The 19,741-nt window shown below is 42.1% G+C and overlaps 1 annotated feature.

Moving 5' to 3' along the window:
• Positions 918-1,452: an enhancer, noted in NCBI's record as "H3K27ac hESC enhancer chr8:140471614-140472148 (GRCh37/hg19 assembly coordinates)". NCBI's record gives its function as "activates a minimal SCP1, AML or CMV promoter by ChIP-STARR-seq in naive H9 embryonic stem cells {active_cell/tissue: H9 hESC(naive)}" and the evidence as "EXISTENCE:reporter gene assay evidence [ECO:0000049][PMID:30033119]".

Raw genomic sequence — 19,741 nt, forward strand, 5'->3', positions numbered from 1 at the left:
AATGTATGCAAATATCTTCTCTGTAAACCATAGAATGCTAAACAAAAGTTAATATCTCCAATTTATATCATCTTTAAAGGGATAAAATTGTAGATATTTGGGGGTACAAGGAATGGGAAACCAAAATAATCTCAGGAGGCTTCCTGTAGAAGGTAGAATATGAATTGGTACTATTTATGTGACTTTTGAAGCACTAGCTATAAAAACCACAATTCAAGACTCTGTGATAGAGTAGCAGGCACTAGCGCATCTAACGCATCCCTGCCAGGGATATAATCAATGTGGTGGATTTCTACATCAGGATACTATCATTAAACATGGATTTAATTTGCTTTTTATAATACAGTCAGCTTTACTGAAATAGAAATTCTTTTATCCAGGAAGTTGATGGGGACACAGCTCATGCAGGATCAGTTTCTAGTGTAATGGGTTGGTCAAAATCAACGGTAAGTGCGTCTAGGCAAGCAGCTGAAACTTTGCATTTTCAAGATCGTGCTGCTAGATGATGCTGGGTTCAATGGGAGTTAGGGGTAATTAGGGTGGCTACAAACAGGAAGACGTAGCTCACTCAAGGACAGTGTATCAGTCTGTTCTCACGCGCCTAATAAAGACATGCCTAAGACTGGGTAATTTATAAAGAAAAAGAGATTTAATGGATTCACAGTTCCACATGGCAGGGGAGGCCTCACAATCATGGTGGAAGGCAAAGGAGGAGCAAAGGCATGTCTTACATGGCTGCAGGCAAGAGAGCTTATGCAGGGGAACTCCCCTTTTATAAAACCATTGGATTTCATGAGACTTATTCACTATCACGAGAACAGCAAGGGAAAAACCTGCCCCCATGGTTCAATTACCTCCCACTGAGTGCCTCCTATGAGACATGGGGATTATGAAAGCTATAATTCAAGATAAGATTTGGATGGGCTCACAGCCAAACCATATCACATGGAGACTTAGGATGCTGGCCAAGGGAAATAAAGAATCAAAAAGAGGCAGTAAATACCCTGAACAGTGCCTGGAAAGCCTGCTTCGAGAAAGAGATCACTCTAATGCTTCTTGGAGAAAGAATCTTCTCAGAACAGTGCCTGGAAAGCCTGCTTCAAGAAAGAGATAACTCTAATGCTTCTTGGAGAAAGAATCTTCTCAGCTGCAGATCTGAGACGTCTCTGACCATCACTTCAGTGCGCCGAAAGAGGCACTGTGTAAACACTCTCTCTATTGGCAAAACTGTAATCTGAAAAAGTGTCAACCTCATTCCATACTGAATATGGACAAAAATAGATAAATACATTGGTCCTATGAAGTATGACATGAGCTGAAAAGGTCAAGTTCATCCACAGAGTACATCAGTGAAGATAATCTATTGCAGGATCCATCAAAAAATCCTATGATACTATTTCAAATTGTCAGAAGGTGCAAGGAGTTATATCCCACTGCCAAGAAGACCAGAAATGTAGGGGTGGGTTGCCCCTACACACCTGTGGGTGTTTCTCGTAAGGTGGGACGAGAGATTTGGAAAAGAAAAAGACACAGAGACAAAGTATAGAGAAAGAAATAAGGGGAACCGGGGAACCAGCGTTCAGCATATGGAGGATCCCGCCAGCCTCTGAGTTCCCTTAGTATTTATTGATCATCTGTGGGTGTTTCTCGAAGAGGCGGATGTGTCAGGGTCACAAGACAATTGTGGGGAGAGGGTCAGCAGACAAACACGTGAACAAAGGTCTTTGCATCATAGACAATATAAAGGATTAAGTGCTGTGCTTTTAGATATGCATACACATAAACATCTCAATGCTTTACAAAGCAGTATTGCTGCCCGCAGGTCCCACCTCCAGCCCTAAGGCAGTTTTTCCCTATCTCAGTAGATGGAGCATACAATCGGGTTTTATACCGAGACATTCCATTGCCCAGGGACAGGCAGGAGACAGATGCCTTCCTCTTGTCTCAACTGCAAGAGGCATTCCTTCCTCTTTTACTAATCCTCCTCAGCACAGACCCTTTACAGGTGTCAGGCTGGGGGACGGTCAGGTCTTTCCCTTCCCACGAGGCCATATTTCAGACTATCACATGGGGAGAAACCTTGGACAATACCTGGCTTTCCTAGGCAGAGGTCCCTGCGGCCTTCCGCAGTTTTTGTGTCCCTGGGTACTTGAGATTAGGGAGTGGTGATGACTCTTAAGGAGCATGCTGCCTTCAAGCATCTGTTTAACAAAGCACATCTTGCACCGCCCTTAATCCATTTAACTCTGAGTTGACACAGCACATGTTTCAGAGAGCATGGGGTTGGGGGTAAGGTTATAGATTAACAGAATCTCAAGGCAGAAGAATTTTTCTTAGTACATAACAAAATGGAGTCGCCTATGTCTACTTCTTTCTACACAGACACAGTAACAATCTGATCTCTCTTGCTTTTCCCCACATTTCCCCCTTTTCTTTTCAACAAAACCGCCATCGTCATCATGGCCCGTTCTCGATGGTCGCTGTCTCTTCGGAGCTGTTGGGTACACCTGCAGACTAACAACAGACAAAACAGGCACACAAGGATTAATATGAGATTTATAATCGTAGTACTTCCAATGGTCTTAACCCAAGTGACAGGGTTAAGATTTGCGAGGCCATCAGCAACTCCTGCAATTGCCTCAGTTCCTGGCACCAAATTTAAATGGGCTTTTGATGCTTCGAAAATTTGTTCTTTTAATTTGGAAATGTCTAAAGTGAGATTATCTTCTCTTCCCTGTAGATGGCGTCTAACCATGTCCCAGTGATGCTCAGACTCATTATAAATTTGGGGTGTAATACAAAAATCTGATGTATTCCAGTCACACTGTAACTGGAAACGATGTTCTAAGCTCATGAGCCTGTCTCCCATCCAAATGACAGTTTGTCTAAGATCATTAATTTGATTTGCCAATTTTTGATCAATACTAGATTGTGAATTCCACAATCTTGTAGAATTTTTTTGCCAATCATTAACAAAGTTTACTGACTGAACAGAAGAGTGCAATGCAACTCCTGCTACAGCAGCCGTAGCTGTGACTGCAATTAATCCCATAATCACTGCAATTAAAGTAAAAATGAATCTTTTGGATCTATTTAAAACACCTTTTAATACTTCAGTCAAAATATGGACGGATGGCGAGGCCTCCCACGGTCGGTCCATGGACACAGGGATCCACACGCCCTCTCTTGCTCTCACCAGCAGAATACGGTGTTGCCAATTAAAAGTTGAATCAATGCAAGTAAGCAATCTACAATTTTCACAGGACCTGTTCTTGTACCCCATCAATCCACCAAGTCTTAAATTGTAAAAATTGAGAGGGTGAGAGAGACGATTTTTCCAGAATCTCCCAATTGTAAGGAATGAGTCTATGTCCATGAGCAATGGAATCTAATAATGTCCTCATATAAGGGGAGTTGGGTCCATACTGTTTTACTCCCTCTTTCATATCTTTTAGCATTTTTATCGAAAAAGACTTGTATCTGGCCTCAACTGTGAGAGGCTCTCCCTCTTGGGCTCCTTCTCCAGGTGGCATCGGTTCTAACGTTACTGGGAATTGCCATGCCTCAGTATCTCCTTCCTTTCTTGATTTATCAATAATTTCATGTAATTCACTACCCTGTCTACTAGGTGGTGCCGTAGGATTAAGTCTCCTAGTGGGCGGCTGAGGGTATGGCGCCCTGCCCTGTGGTGCTGGGGGCATTCCTGGATATCCATACTGACTTTCTGGGGGTGGCCGATAGTGAAGTTCAGCCGGCGGCCAGTATTGATAGGCTACTGGTGGTTGGGTCTTATTTTCTTTAACCTGCTTTTGAGGTTGTAATGTTACGGGCACCTGACCTGCTGGAAGAGGACTTGTGCCTCGTGGTTTAGACTCTGATGGCCCCATTAATTCGGGACCTTTTCCTTCTAATTTTAACGTTTCAGGATATATCACCTCCTGTAATTGATTATAGTCAACATTTTGCGTTGACTGAGCCATTACCGGCTCTGCTACATATTCGCAATGTAAACCTTCCGTTTCTTTCTGGGATTTTTTCCTTGTGTTTTCATTACAATCTATTAAACAGCTTCCAGGGGCATCAGAAACTGAAATGCTATCTTCTTCTGTTTGAAATGGTTCTAAAGCTGCTTTAATAATGGCCCAATCATTCCATACTGTAAGTGGAATGATATTACCCTTCCTACCTGCTTGTTTTAGTTCCTTACCAATTCTTTTCCAATCTTTTAGATCTAAAGTTCCTTGTTCTGGAAACCATGGGCAAAATTGTTCTATTATTTGAAATAGCTTGATTAGATTTTTTGTAGATACTTTAACTCCCCCTCTTTTTAAAAGAATTTTAATAAAGCTGAGATAAGAGGCATATTTACTTTTAATTTTACTTTTAGTTTGCCCCATTATCACCCTAGCTTCTTCCGAGCGCACAAGCTTACCGTAAGGCTGACTGTAGACGTCCTCGGGATCTCTTGTCGACTTGTCCTCAATGACCACGCTCGAGCGTACCTTCACCCTAGAGAAAAGCCTCCACGTTGGGCACCAGATGTAGGGGTGGGTTGCCCCTACAAGAAAACCATGGCCGGGCGCGGTGGCTCACGCCTGTAATCCCAGCACTTTGGGAGGCCGAGGCGGGCGGATCACGAGGTCAGGAGATCGAGACCATCCTGGCTAACACGGTGAAACCCCGTCTCTACTAAAAATACAAAAATTAGCCGGGCATGGTGGCGCGCGCCTGTAGTCCCAGCTACACGGGAGGCTGAGGCAGGAGAATGGCGTAAACCCGGGAGGCGGAGCTTGCAGTGAGTCGAGATCACGCCACTGCACTCCAGCCTGGGCGACAGAGCGAAACTCCGCCTCAAAAAAAAAAAAAAAAAAAAAAAAAAAAAAAAAAAAAAAAAAAGAAAACCATAAGGAGAATACGACTTGAGTCAGCTAGGCAAGATGGGGGAAAAAATGAATGAGATAAAGTCAAAAAAACAGAACATGCATATTAAAAAATCATACTAGAATCTAAAACAAATATTTTAAAAGTGAATGTAAAAATGGATAGAGTCAAATAAATAATATGGATAACAGATTTGCAAAACCACTCCAGGTTACAGAGAAAAAAGTGGAGAGATGAAAACACAAATATCCAAATTAGTATCTTAAAACTATAATGATAGACTTCAAGGAAATTAAAAATATAAAAACATCTTAATTAGAAAATCTGAATTTAAATATTTGTATAATAACAAATTACTAAAGTAATACTAGAAAACACAGATAACCTGAATAAGACAGTAACCAGAAACAAACTGGAATGAAAGTAGTTACATAATTGCTTCTGAAAAAGTGCTCAGCCAAGACCATTTATAAGCGAAGTTTTAAAAATCCTTATTCTTTGTAAACTATGCTAGAACATAGAAATGCTCTCAGTTTTACAAACCCAGTATGTAATCTTGTGTCCAAATCCTGATGAAGATATAATAAAGAAATTGTTCAAGTCTCACTCTGAAATATTGCTGTAAAATCCGTATTACAGGCAAATAAAATTCAGTAGTAAATTAAAATTAAAATAATAAAGTATTATTTCAGAATGAAAGGATGGATTCTTAGTTGGAAAACATTAATATGTCTAGCATGCATTGAAGAGATGCAGACTCTCTGCCCTTAATATCTGTGTCTTCTTTACAGTAAAATTCAACTTATTTTCTATTATACCCATCTGCATTTCCTCAACTTTAATTCCGTCTCAACTAACTCCATCAGATTCTTGCCCTCAATACCTCAATGAAACCTGTCCTCCACCGTGCAAAAATGAGGGGTCAACTTTCAGTAGTCACACTCAATTTCTCATCAGTATTGACATAGAGGAATATTAACATTTCATCCTTCTTTTAAAAAAACTTTCTTTCTTTTTCTTTTTTTCTTTTCTTTTCTTTTTTTTTTTTTTTAACAGAGTGTTGCTCTATCACCCAGGCTGGAGTCCAGTGACACAAACACAGTTCACTGTAGGCTCAACCTCCTGGGCTCAAGCGATTCTCCCACCTTAGCCTCCTGTGTAGCTGGGACTGTGAATCCACACCACCACACCCAACTAATTTTGTTGATTTTTTTTTTGGAGAGACTGGCTCTCACTTTTTTGCCCAGGATGGTCTCGAGCTCCTGGGCTCAAGCAATCCTCCTGCCTCAGCCTCCCAAAGTGCTGGGATTACAGGCATGAGCCACCATGGCTGGCCGTTTCATACTTTTTGAATTTCTTTTCTACGTGTTGCTTCTAGGATACCATACTCTCTTGGTACTTCCTCCTGCCCTTCTGGTTGCTTATTCCTCTTTCTCATTTAAGTGCTGGTGCCCCAAGCTCATGTCAGAGACTTCTTCTCTATCTGTACACTTGCTATATGATATTAGCCAGTGCTTTGGCTTTATATAACATTGCCCTGCTATCAACTTCCATTTATATAACTATATGCATCGCTAACTTACGAGCTCCAGTTTCTCTATGCTGTCATCTACTTAACATCTATTTAGATGTCTGGTAGTCAAAATAACTTCACAGGTCCAAAGTACAGCTCTTTATCCTTTCATCCCTTGCCTGTCCTCTGCAAAGGTTTACCAACTCAGCCATTGGCACCATCAATCTGCTTCAGCCAAACCTTCGTGCCACCCTTCATGCCCCATGCACAATCTGTCAGCACATCTTGCCAGCTCTATTTTCAAAATTAATCCCCAAATTTGGCACTTCGCTTCTCTCCATCTTGACCACAATCACCCTCATAGATAAATGTTTTAATCTGTGGGCTGGAAGCATATGAACTTTCTCAGAATGTACGTAAGAACCTGCATGTTATTCCATATTTTCTTTTAATTCCTTCTACTCCTACACTAGAATTAAACATTTTCAAATAAATGGCATAGCTACAGAGTCAGCCCCCAACCAAAGGCATTGTGTTCAGAAAGATTATTCTGTTCTGATGTGTTTCCATTTATTTAGAACCAATCTCAAACTTGAGTGATTGTCTCTCTTGACCCTTTGCCCAAAACTTTGACCACAATTCTGCACGTGCCACCATCACAGGCTTTATCTCTTCTGGTTTTCTGAGTCTCCCCTCCCATCAGTGAGAAACAAGCTTCTATAATGTTAGTGGATATTCCTGTCCCACCTCTATCCACACATAGCTCCCTCCCCAACTTGATTACAAGCATCTGTGAAGAAGAGACTTAGCCAGATTGAGGGGGGTGTGTGTGTGTGTGTGTGTGTACATATGTGAGCATATTTTAAGATAAGAGCAGGCACCCCAAAATAAAGGATATTTGTTCAGAAAGAAACCATTTCTTGATAAGCTGCTTGGAGTAAACACTGAGACACTAAAGTCCTGAGTGTGCAGGAGTTGAAGAAACAGAAAGCTAAAATGCTTAGTCCTAGAAAAGAACAGAGCATATGGAGCTTATGCTGTGTCAAGAAGAAAGGAGAGGAGGAAGGGTTGCTGAGAAGTATGACTGACTAGCAGGTGGACCTTTTAAGGTCAGGGATCTAACATCAAATTTCAATATGATTACAATTGTGTCCATGTAAACAATCTCACTCCTTCTTCCCAAACTCTCAGGATAGTTGACTACATGCACCAATACTGTGCAATTGTACATGATGGGCGTGAACATGGCAAGTGAGAGAAGAGACTGAGTTCCACATATGGACCAGCACAAGACAAAATAGGGCAGGCAGTGGCACAAACCAAACGAAGCAGAAACAAGAGCCTAGAGTCAAGGATAATAAAAATATGGGTCTCCTCATCCACCTCATCATTAGAAATGTACAGAATTTTAGGTACTGAGCTTGCAGAGTATGCAGACATTGTATGGGTCATAGGGATAGGGAGACCCCAGTTGCTAGGTGGACTATGCATACTTTTCACCCTCCGGTAATCACTCAAACATTTACAAGTAAACACAATGCCTACAGACCAGTGGTGGTGTTATTAAATAGTAAGGATGGAGGAGGAACTGCTAGACCCTCTTACCTGATAAGAAGAAGATGTTGGTAGCTTTGATGGTTCAGTAAAGGATATTTGCTAACTCTAAGATATGTCCTTAATAAGTGCTGGTAAATGTTCAAAGTGAAAAAGAAAATATACAAACAGAACTAATCTGTGGTTTATCAAAGGTATAAACAGATGCAAAGTAAATGTACTTAAAGGCAGATTTGCTTGCTTACGGCTTTGCGATGCAGTCACACACACATTCCCACAAAAGCTTAGCCCTCAAACACATGCAAAGGCACACCTCCTGCCACTTGTACACCTTATCCCATTACCACCCATCCTGACTCTATTCTTTCACAGTCAAAGACTATCAGGAGTCACCACAGATTCCTACATTTCCATCCCTGGCCCAGCATAGTCCATAAGGGAGGTGCTCCTGGTTCATCGAAAAGTGATCAAAACATTTTTAAAAGAAGATTAAATGACAAAAGTCTAATTTTATTCAACTGAGGGGATTAAAAGACCACATATCATAGAGGTCAAGAATACAGTGGACTCTGGAGCCAGAAGACCTGGGTCCAAATCTCAGCTCTACCACTTCTTAGCCACACGACCTTGGTGAAGTTGCATAACTCCTCTCAGCCTCAGTTTGCTCATCTGTAAAATGCAGATTATACTAGTGATATTACCACATAGTTTTGTTTTGAGGATTAAACAAAGTAGTATTCGCAAAGCACTTAGAACAGTGCCTGGCACATTGTAAGTGCTACATAAATGTTTGTTAAACAAATAAAATTTCATTTAATCTTAGATGATGTTCCAACTGTATTTCTGGTGTTTTTTTGTTTTGTTTTGTTTTGTTTTGTTTTGCTTGAGACGGAGTCTCGCTCTGTCTCCCAGGCTGGAGTGCAGTGGCAGGATCTCAGCTCACTGCAAGCTCCGCCTCCCGGGTTCACGCCATTCTCCTGCCTCAGCCTCCCGAGTAGCTGGGATTACAAGTGCCCGCCACCACGCCCAGCTAATTTTTTGTATTTTTAGTGGAGACGGGGTTTCACCATGTTAGCCAGGATGGTCTCGATCTCCTGACCTCACCATCTGCCCGCCTCGGCCTCCCAAAGTGCTGGGATTACAGGTGTGAGCCACCGTGCCCAGCCCATTTCTGATGTTTTCAATCTCTCATGAAACGCTTGTTCTGGTGAATTACATGTCCTTTTATTGATTCAGTTTTCATATTCTTTTTGACAGAATAAGTTGGTGCCCAACTATAAGGTGGCTTTGTGCCCTCCACACCTATTTTTTCAATTCTTGCTGAAGTCTCCAAGTTTGGGAAATACTACTTAGTCAGTTCCTCCTTTTTATAAACAGAGAGACTGATGTTCATGGAAATTAGACCAGTCACTGTGACCTAACGATCCCACAGGAGTTGGTCCCACCTCCCAGAATGTCCTCTCTTCCTGGCACTTTTCCATTCATTCAGCATCTTCCAACTGCACCAGCCCTCTTTCTCTTCCTCAGCTACTCCAAGCTCATTACCCATTTGGATCCAACTTTCTATTTAGAAGGGGAGTCGGACACTACCGCTATATCTTTCTGCTAACACACAGCCAGTTGTTGAGTTTTTCATGAGAAAATCTGTTTTTCAGTGAATGGTTGTTAATGGATGCACAAGGGATTAACACTGCAAGGATTATGATATCATGAGAACTTTGCCTGATTCATATGTTCATGTGAGAGTCTAGGAGCCGACTGGCTCAGTGGGTTGCAGCACACTCGGAGACTTCTGAGCATCAGTTGACTGATTTTGCCAAAGAAGAAATTGGTGAAAATGTGGTGTTAATTTTGCTTGAACCCCTAACTTTTGTACCCTCTGCAATTTGTAAAAGCCGTTAGAAATAAATAAATGCTTTCTATGGTCATCAAATGTTTCAACTTATATTAACTACACAATCAAATGTGAAATTTAAAATGTATTACAAATTTTAGTGAAGAGTTCCTTCTCCAAGAAGGGGGTAGATGGAATTTTAAGAAGAGCACTTTATAACCTGCCGAAATATAAAACATGCCTCTTATTTTCTTCCCCCTGCCCCAAAAGTAGTGTGACTAAATATCAATAGATGCATGTTAAGAAATGTCCCCAGATATGAAGTCCTAACTCAGCTGAGAGCCTCTGCAGTCTATACCACTGTTCCCTATGACGCTGGATACATTGTAGCCAGTCCAAGACAGAAACAACAGTCACTAATCTCTACCAGTGAAGTAAAAATAGTTTCATAGATTTTACTAACTTTAGAATGGTGACACAACCTAAGGTATATATGGTAACCAATGTAAGTCTTCAATAAGAATTCTGGTGTTTAAGGTTTGGGGTACTTTTTTTAAAGGGTTGCATTTCTTGATAATGTTGCCTGAAGACCTATTTTTATAAAAATAAAGTACAAACTCTGGGATGTCCAAAAGTCCCTAAGCAGAAGGAAAGCACATTCCTGGTTTTATTCCACAAGATGGAGCCAGCTGCAGATCTGTAATCTTGGATCTGCAGTCAAAAATCTGTTTCACTTGTAAAACAGTAAACTGATCCCATCTTTCTTATTTTTAGTGACCAACAGTGGGTTATAGCACTGAAGTGTTTTACTTCATTCATCAGTCTGAAGAGCTTTTTTTTCATGCACAGCAGTAGCCCATGTTTTCAAAGAACTGTCAAGAATGTCACCGAATGGGGACATTTGTGACATGGATTCTGACAAGATGGCCAGCATGGGAGGACAGAGGGCAGGAGCACTGCCACGCTCTCCGATGAGTGAGGCAGACCAACAGGCACAGTTTGACATCAGCACACAGGGTTCCTGAAACCTGCTCTTCCAGCAACATATTTGGCATGATTAAAGGAGAGACTAAAACTCTGGGGATATGTATCACTTAGATTCCTGGGCTACCTGGAAAATAAAGAAAATGTTTCTTTATGCAAAAATTCCATGAATCGTGGAGAAATGGGAAATGACTAATAAAGGGAACACTCTCTTATTATGGCCCCTACCCGTCAAGGCCCACTTCCTTCCCAAATCCACAGAAAAACTTAGAAACAGCCAGTTTATACTGATCTTTTCCTCCCCTCTGAAATTCTATAGCAGAACCTACATTCATGCTATTAAATTGGCTTTATAATTTAAGCTACTTTATCAGCCACTGGAAGGTTTATTCATTAGACAACTAGGGTCTGCTGTCTCTCTACGGATGCACCATATCTCAGGGTCTTGGAAAACATTACCTGTTGCAACCTTCATATAACAACTATGTCCACAAGGATGTCAATCTCCTTCTTCTCCCTGTGTAAACTACTAAGTAGAACCCTCTAGACCCTCACCTAGTCTGTACCTGTACCCACCCACCTGCAATGCTAAACCTCTTCTCATGTTCAGATTTAAGCAGTCACAGCAATGCTTGTGATGAAATCACCTGAGAAGATCTACCTGTACTCTATGTCTACATTAGCCTCTTGGACCTAAACCTCAGCCCCTTCTCCAGTCCAGAAGCTTGGGGTAGGGTGCAGTTCCAAACAAATGAATGAATGTCATCATCATGGTTTTAAAGCCCCCGTATTGACTACAAAGTACATTTGTTAAGTAGCAATGAATTATTTCACAATGTAACTCATCAGAAATGCTTGCGGTCTGAGTGTATGGCCTTGCAGTCAGATAAATTGTGTTCAAGTCCAAATTTTTCACATTTTTGCTTTACAGCCTTGAGCAGTCTCTTCACCTTTTTGAACTTCAGTTTTCTCATCTGTGAAATGCAGATAACGGCAGCCCACATCTGCCACTGTGGGGTCTGTCACCAGAAGCATTCTTCATCCCTTTCTTCTCTGTTGCTGTTTTCCAAATGTAGCACCCTTGCTCCACATTTATTTGATTGCTTACCAAGAAGTATCCCACACAGAGGATACACTCAATCATGTAGACAAGACGACCATCCTGGTATGCCAATCAGCACCTTTCCCTACCCTGGTATTTGCTCAGAGTGGCCATGGTGGCAGAGATAGAGGTCAGGTACCTTTTCAGAACAATAGACTCGGGCTCAGCAAGGCTGCTCTGGGCACCACACCGTTATGAGTCCTGTGTGCCAACAACACAATCTATAGCTGAGTGGCCAGTGTGGCTGCTCTCCTAGAAACAGGTTGGTGACAGTGGATCCAGTTCATGATGGAGGGTGTAGTGATTGACAGTCACTGGAGAATGCATATATTCTGGCTAAGGATTTGCCATTCCTGCACATCACGCATCTGCTCGTACTCCCATCTGTGGACTTACAGAATTATCTGTTCATTCCCTTGGTAAAACATGCTTTGACTAAGAGCTCACTTTATCACAGGAGTACAAAACTGGGCTCACAACCTAAGGTACATATGGTAATGAATTCATTGTATTTACTGGTCTGCCTCCTACACCAGCCACATGTAGAAGTAGTAGCCTGCTAGCTGTGACTACTGATGGGATGTCCTACTGAGGCCTGAGAGATGGCATTAACTAGCAGAAAACTTTTCAAAGTTGGGACCCTGTACTACACTATGTAACACATTTTAAAACTAGTGACAAAAATATGACATCCTTTCTTCCAAAGCAAAATACATAGGTCCAGAAAATAAGGGATGTGAGTAGGAGTGTCCCCATCACTATGTCACCTAATGATCCACTGGCAACATGTTTGCTTCCTGTCTTGAAACCATGGGTGTTACTGAGTTAGCAGTTTTAGTTCCCAAGATAAAAGTTCTTCCAACAGGGGACACAGAAATGGTCTAATTAAACTGAAGTTGAAACAACCACCTGGCTATTTTTAGCTCTACATATCAAAAAAAACAACAGGCAGAGACAGGGTTTCCATTATGGCTTGAATGATTAATTCAAATTTCAAGAGGAAATTGCTGGCTGCTACAGAGTAGGGCAGGGAGAATGATGAGTGGAATGTAAGGGATTCATTAGGGCACTTCTTAATATATCTGTCCAACAGTAATGTCAATAACAGATTATAGCAACCTGCCACAAATCAGGACAACTAAGAATCCAGATACTTCAAGAATAAAGATTTAACCACACCAGGTTTAAAAATGCCAACCAAATGAGAGGCCAGTTGAGGACAAAAGTGACATGGAGTAGAAGAAAGGGGGAGGAACACATATCAACTATGGCCTCATGACCATCCCATACGTGGGAACTGTAGAGCTATGTGTATTTTCGACATCAACAAATGAGTTCTTTTTTCTTTTTTCTTCTGTTCTCCTCTACTATTAGAATGAAGTGTTTCATTGATGCTTTACCTCATGATTTAGTTCACAGACCATGAAAAGCCTCTAAGGAATGGACCACTTATTACCTAGAGACCTTGAAGTTGAGCTCGATATCATTAATCAATGATCCTTGGTGATTCCCCTCATTGGCCAGGTGGCAGGAGTATCTTCATTTATACTGTGTAATCTTTCCTCATGTTAGGCAGCACATGCAGGTGCTTAGGAGAGTTACATATGGCAGAAGTAATAGAATGTCAAAAACAAATGGTCTGTGCCCCCCTTGAATCTGTTTTTCTCTTAAATCTGTTCCTCCCTCTCCCCTGTCCTGCCTGTGTCAAAGGGGCTGACCTGAGCAGGCTGATTTTTCCATTGTATTCACCCAAAGAGAAGCACTGGGGAGACGCTAAAGGATTGAAGGAAGGGAGAATCCTGGATATTCCTTTTCTCTCTATGTAGCTCAGGCAGTGTTTCCATAGCAACTTCATATCTTCCATGGCTTCGTCTTCTACCAGATGGGTCCATGGTGGTTTCCGCTCTTGTCAAAGAATGCTAGCCCCAGGGATCCAAAAACAGTGCCTCCTCATTTTCTCTCCAGAGCCATGAAGGTAGAGGATTTCTGGTGCTATTAAATCTGGGATGGCTCACCATCCCCTGTTGATGTATTGGCTTTTCTAGTTACCTCTGTAGCCAATTTCCCGCCTTAAGTTCCCTCTTTCAAATACTCAGAATGGTGTCCTGGTTTTATCCTAACTGATAGACTATCCTTCTGAGCTGTGGTAAAGTTATAAATTAATATATGAATGTACCTAGCACAATTCCAGGCACCAAGTCAACACTCAATAAATGGTAATTTTCTGGACCCATTGCTTAGTAAGCAGTGAAGACCAGACTGCATGGAAATCTGGTTCTATCACTTACTAGACATGTGGCCACCTTGAGCAAGCTATTTAAAAGTTCTGTGCCTCATTTTCTACAGAAACCAGGATAACAGATAAATCTACAGAATCAGGATAACAATCATACCTACCCAAAGGGTTGCTGTAAGTATTCCTTGCATTCATGGAAAGGGCTTGGAATAGTCCTACCTATAAATAGAACCAACACATACGGGCCATTTTCATGAGATTATCGTTTTTTAAAAAAAAAAAAAAAGTCAGTTGATAACATTCCAACAGAAAGGAGAATGGGAAATAAAAGTTTTTGAGCACCTAGTTTGTGCATGACTCCAACAACAAAACACATATCTTTTAAATTAGCTCAGGAGATAAGAGACATTACCCTGGGTAAACTAAGAGTCTCAAAACTGGATTCTCTTATACTCTATGGAAACTAATGGTGAAAATGTATGTGTGTGTCTGTGTGTGTGTCTTCATAATTGGCCAATATCAGCTACAGAAATATGCCCACTGGGTTTTTCCTGGCTGAACTGGTTCTACACCTCTAGTGGAAAGAGCACTAGACATACAGTTAAGAGTCTAGTTATGGTTTCATTATGGACTTTGTGTCTAGTTATGGTTGCACCAGTAGTATTTATGTGATTGAGAACAAGTTACAAACCCTCTGATTTTACTTCCATTTATCTATAAATAGGGAATAATATCTGCTTTCATAATTGGTCCTACAGATGAAATGGAATTTCACCTATTATAAGATCACTGCAAATTATGAAAAGATTTCAGGTGTTTTCCAATAAGAAACAGAGGTGGAGTATTAGTCAGAAGAAACCAGAAAACATAGCTCTACCTTTATAAACATTCCAAATAACCCTGGGTTCCATTATTATATCATTTTTTTCCAGATAGGACACAGGTTTACAGAGAACATCAGCATCTTGCCTAAGATAAGGCAAGTAAGTTGCAGACACTGGATTTGAACCCAAGGTGTCTGCAGTGAAAGCTCAGGTCAGTAGCCATGACCCTGTCTCCCACCTCTACCCAGGTGGGGTGGGAGGCTGTAAATGTAGGTCGGGGTCTGCATGAGCAGGAATATCATCCATATGAACTGAGAACCAGCTCAAAGGCAGCTCGGTGAAGGGGTGGGGAGCCAGAGAGATGAAAAAGCCTATGGGATGCTTTAGAGGATCATTCACAATAACTCCTCAGCCCACAGAAGAGTTGTCAACAACACAACTCTTGAGTGAAATTTGATTTATTGATAAGAATGGTGAAAGGCTAGAGTCTATACCAACTCACAGTAACTAAGTAGACATAGACATTTATGGGTATGCACAGAGAAGACCACCAGAAAGTAATAGTAAGACCTGACAGATGTGGGGAGGGTGTACCAAACCTAAGCTCTGATATGGGAGATTCAGGCCTTTGGGCAGGCCCCACATCACATCAGGCCCCATCACTGCATGCTAAGAGAATCTGCAACAGCATAGGGATCACCCTTTCCTCAGACACCAGGTGGCATGAGGCAGGTTCATTCACCTCTGTGTGCACAGGTTCTTCATCTACAATACGAGGACATTACCTGTCGTGTCTATGCCAGACCTTTAGCGTCATAACTCGTGCATTATATGCAGCTTTTTGCAAAATATTTTCAAATACATCATCCCAGTTGAACCTTAAACCAATCTGACCCCAGTTGAACCTTAAACCAATCTGGCATTATTGATAAAAACTGATAGTTACTGAAAACATACAATGGACTAGACATGATAGTAAACACTTGACCTGCATTTCTAACTTCATCCTCAAAACAACTCCATTTTACAGATGAGGAAGCTGTGGCAATGAGAGACTAAAGTCACCTGTTCAAGGCCTCCTATCTAGGATTGGCGGAGCATGGATCCCAACCCAGAAAGTCAGCTTCCAGAGGGCCATGAGGGTTGTGCAAGGCACATATGAAACTCCAAGCCACCGATGAGAGTGGCCATAACACTCAGATGACTGATGGAGAAATGACTTTGAAAAGTATTGGGTGGTTGGCAAAGGGATCCCTTGCATGCAAATACAGACCTCATTGCCAGTGGCAAACGTCAGACTTAAGTGCCAAAGTTTTCTCTCCAGCACCCGGACAGATTGCAGCCCTTCTGGTGCGTCTGCAGTTGGCTGACTCGCCTGACAAGTGCCACACCGGAGTCGGCTTCTGAAGAGCAGGAAGAGCCCTCCCCAGCCCTGACCGCAGTGAACAAATCGCGGATTTTCAGGCCTCTACTTAATTACTTGCATTTCAAGTAGAGTCAGGCCTACTCTTCTCTGAATATTTTATATTTGTTAAGACAAGAAAGCTGCCTATTGTTTAATTTATACCTGAGTTTTCAGCCTTTAACCCTTCATCATCGCCTGAAGATGGAGCTAGAATTTGGGAAGAGTCTAGGGCTGGATTTAGAAAGGAATTGGAGTCCAGCAGTCCTTGCTTTATGGCATTGTTTGTTATGTCATGTGTTAAATCAAGTGAAGCGGGTGAGTAGTGCGACCACTTCAACAGCTTGGGGGACCAGCAGATGACAAGGCCGAGCTCAAGAGAGCCACAGAGCTGCTTCTTATCCAGAGTTTTCCTTGATCCAATGGAGTCAGTCCTGCTTCTAAATACAAGGCAGGAAGAAAATAGAGAGACACACCCACTTCATGCCCGAACCTCCTTTTTAGTTGTGCTGCTTCTGTTCCTGCACATGGTGTTAAGGAGTTACCCCAGCGGTGCCAAGCCCTCTTCTGTTCACACTGCTTCCTTGATGCCCTCACTGTTCTGGTCCAGCAGCACAGGCGTGGGTGGTTCATCTAAAAATGATGGTCTCACCCTCTCTGATGCTAGCCTGGACCCTGGCCCTGCAACTCTGAGCCAGTTAGTTCATATTCACAAATTCAGTCTATGTTCTCAGAGCAAACTCTGGGCCAGGTCTACCAGGCAAGGGCAGACTTTCCTGCCAGAGCCTTGTACCACATCAGAACCCTGCCCCTCAACATAAGAACAGCTGAGATGGTGGTTCTTAAACTGCATAGAATAAAGATTTCCAGCCTGTTTTACTGCTACTTCTAATATTAATGCTACTTCCTTAAAAAGGCTAAATGGGGACAAATGTTATAATGAACAAAAAGCTGATATTATGCATATAAACTCACCTGTGCGGGATAAACAGGTTCTATGTCACCAAAGCTATGAATAATATCAGGTTGAAGCAAATATGGTACTTCAGCAAGTGGCCGAAATTCCGTGAATATAAATAACTATTTCATGGCATGTCTGCTTTCTTCCTTGCATCCTAAAGGACAAAGTAACACAGAGAATAGCGCTTAAATCCCATGATGCGGAGGGGGGATAGAGAGGGTCCTAATGAATGAGGTTACATTTGAGGCAGGTCTTAAAGGCTGATAGGATTGTAATCTCCCTCAGAGGAAAGAGAAGGGGGAATCTGCGTGGTGGGAAGAGCTTGGGGAGGGACAGGGAGTTAACCATGGCGGTGGCTGTTGGTGGGGTGATGAGCCCGTGACGGGGGAAGCAGAGGACTGATGAACAGAGAGGGAGGTGGGTTGGAAAAGTAGTTTGCTGGGGCCCAGAATGCTCTCAAGGCAGTTTAAATTTGACTCCCAAGGGAATATAGATCCCTGCAGGGGATTGCAGTACAGAAGTGGCCCAATTAGAACTCGATTTGAAGCAAATGCCTGTAGCTCTTTGTGCATTTCATTAGGAGAATAGGAACTGGAGGCAGCGAACACAGTGAGGAAGCTGCTGAGAGGGTCCAGATAAGAAAAGCCTGTATCAGGGCCACAGCAGGAGGGAAACAGACAAGAGAAGAGACATGGCAGAGAAAATCAACAGAACTCAATGTTCACCTACTGGGCAACACGAAGCCCTTGTCATCTGCACCTTCTGAATCAGGAGACAGGCTGGAGCCTGTGAATAATAGATGAAGTGTTATGTTGATGATGTCAATTAGAATGAGCATTTTCACAATGTGCTTAAATGAAAATTTCAGGGCTGGAGGCTCAATTCTGAGTGAGTATCATTAAAAGCACAGCACAAGAGGCTCCAGCTTGGTTCTCTGGGAGGTTTTTAGTGACATAACCAGTGTTGGTGAAGGGGAAAGACATGGGGTCTTTCAATGATGGATGTCACTGGTGTGGCATGATTTCCGGAGGAGTCCTAGAGGGCAGAGATCCAGAGAAAGCACACTCCACCACAACAGCACAGATCTGAAGATTTTGCTTGATTCAACATTCCTCTTGCACCTGTTTCTGGCAAAAATAATTATAATTAATTTTAGGGTCATCTTTTGGATCCCCTCAAAATAGAACCTGTGTATTTGCACTGCCATTCCCATTTCATAGGATCCAAAAACACACTCACCTCAAAAGGGAAGACTTAGATAATTAGCAAAGGCTGCAGCTGGGGCTCTGAAGCTCTTCCCATGTGTGCCAGTCTGTGACACTCAAAAGAAATCCACCAATGTTGTGCCAGCCAACTGTCGCTTAAGCTTGGGTCTTCGGTGAGAACTTAGGCTTTAGAAATTTACATGGTAAACATGAAATGAAGCTAATTGTCTTCAATATTGTTTTCAGTAATAATAACAGTGGGTGGTATTTACTGATATCTAAATAAAATAAAGGATTAGTATTTAATCCTTTACTAGTGCCAGGGTCTGTGCTTCATGATTCATACATGCTACCTTATTTAATTCTTACAACAATCATTGAGGTAAATTCCAGGATCCTCATTTAACATGCAAGAAAACTAAGATGAGAAGTGGTTGGCCAGTTTACCCAGAGTCTCCCAAATAACAAGAAGCAAGACAGGGAATGGACGTCAGTTCCTTCTGACTCTGAAGATGTTGTGAGTGTGTATAGTATCTCAGACCTGACAAACCACTGTCACAAGCAGCAATTTGTTGTTTGTGCCTTGTTTTTTTTTCAAGATAACACAAGGATGTTTCTACTAATAGTCTCTTCTTGGAGCCAAAGTAACTGAGGCTCAGAGAGCTTAAAGTGATTCACTTCAAAGTCATACAGCTTGCAAGTGGCTTGTCAGGGATTTGCAACAAGGCCTTCTGACTCCAAAATACAGAGGTGAGTCAGGTACAGAGCCCATCCTCTTCCTGCCCTGAGGCTGTTCCTCCTCCTTTATTTATTCCCCATTGTGCATGGCATCGCCAAAACCAGAACCGTCCTCCCTTCATCTCTCCCTCTTTCCCACCCACAACCACAGTCCCCTAAACCTGTCTTCTGTATTTCCTACATTTCTTTCTTCTGTTTTTCACCTCCCCTGATTTAAATAAAGCCCAACCTCTAATAGTTCACTGGCCTTACCCAGTACTCTCTTCATGTTTCCAGTAGTACTCAAACTTGTGTAAGCATGAGAGGTACCAAGAGGGCTCTTTAAGACACAGATCTCTGGCCCTCACCCCAGAGCTTCTGATTCAGTAGGCTGGGGTGGGACCCAGGAATATGCATCTCTAGCAAGTTCCCAGTGGAGGCTGTGGCTGTGAGTCTGAGAATTTCTGTCCTTCATTAAGACTGCCAAGATGATCACTTCTCCTCTGCATATATAAACTCTCCATGGCT

Source organism: Homo sapiens, chromosome 8 (genome assembly GCF_000001405.40).
Source record: "Homo sapiens chromosome 8, GRCh38.p14 Primary Assembly".
NCBI classification, from domain to species: Eukaryota; Metazoa; Chordata; class Mammalia; order Primates; family Hominidae; genus Homo; species Homo sapiens.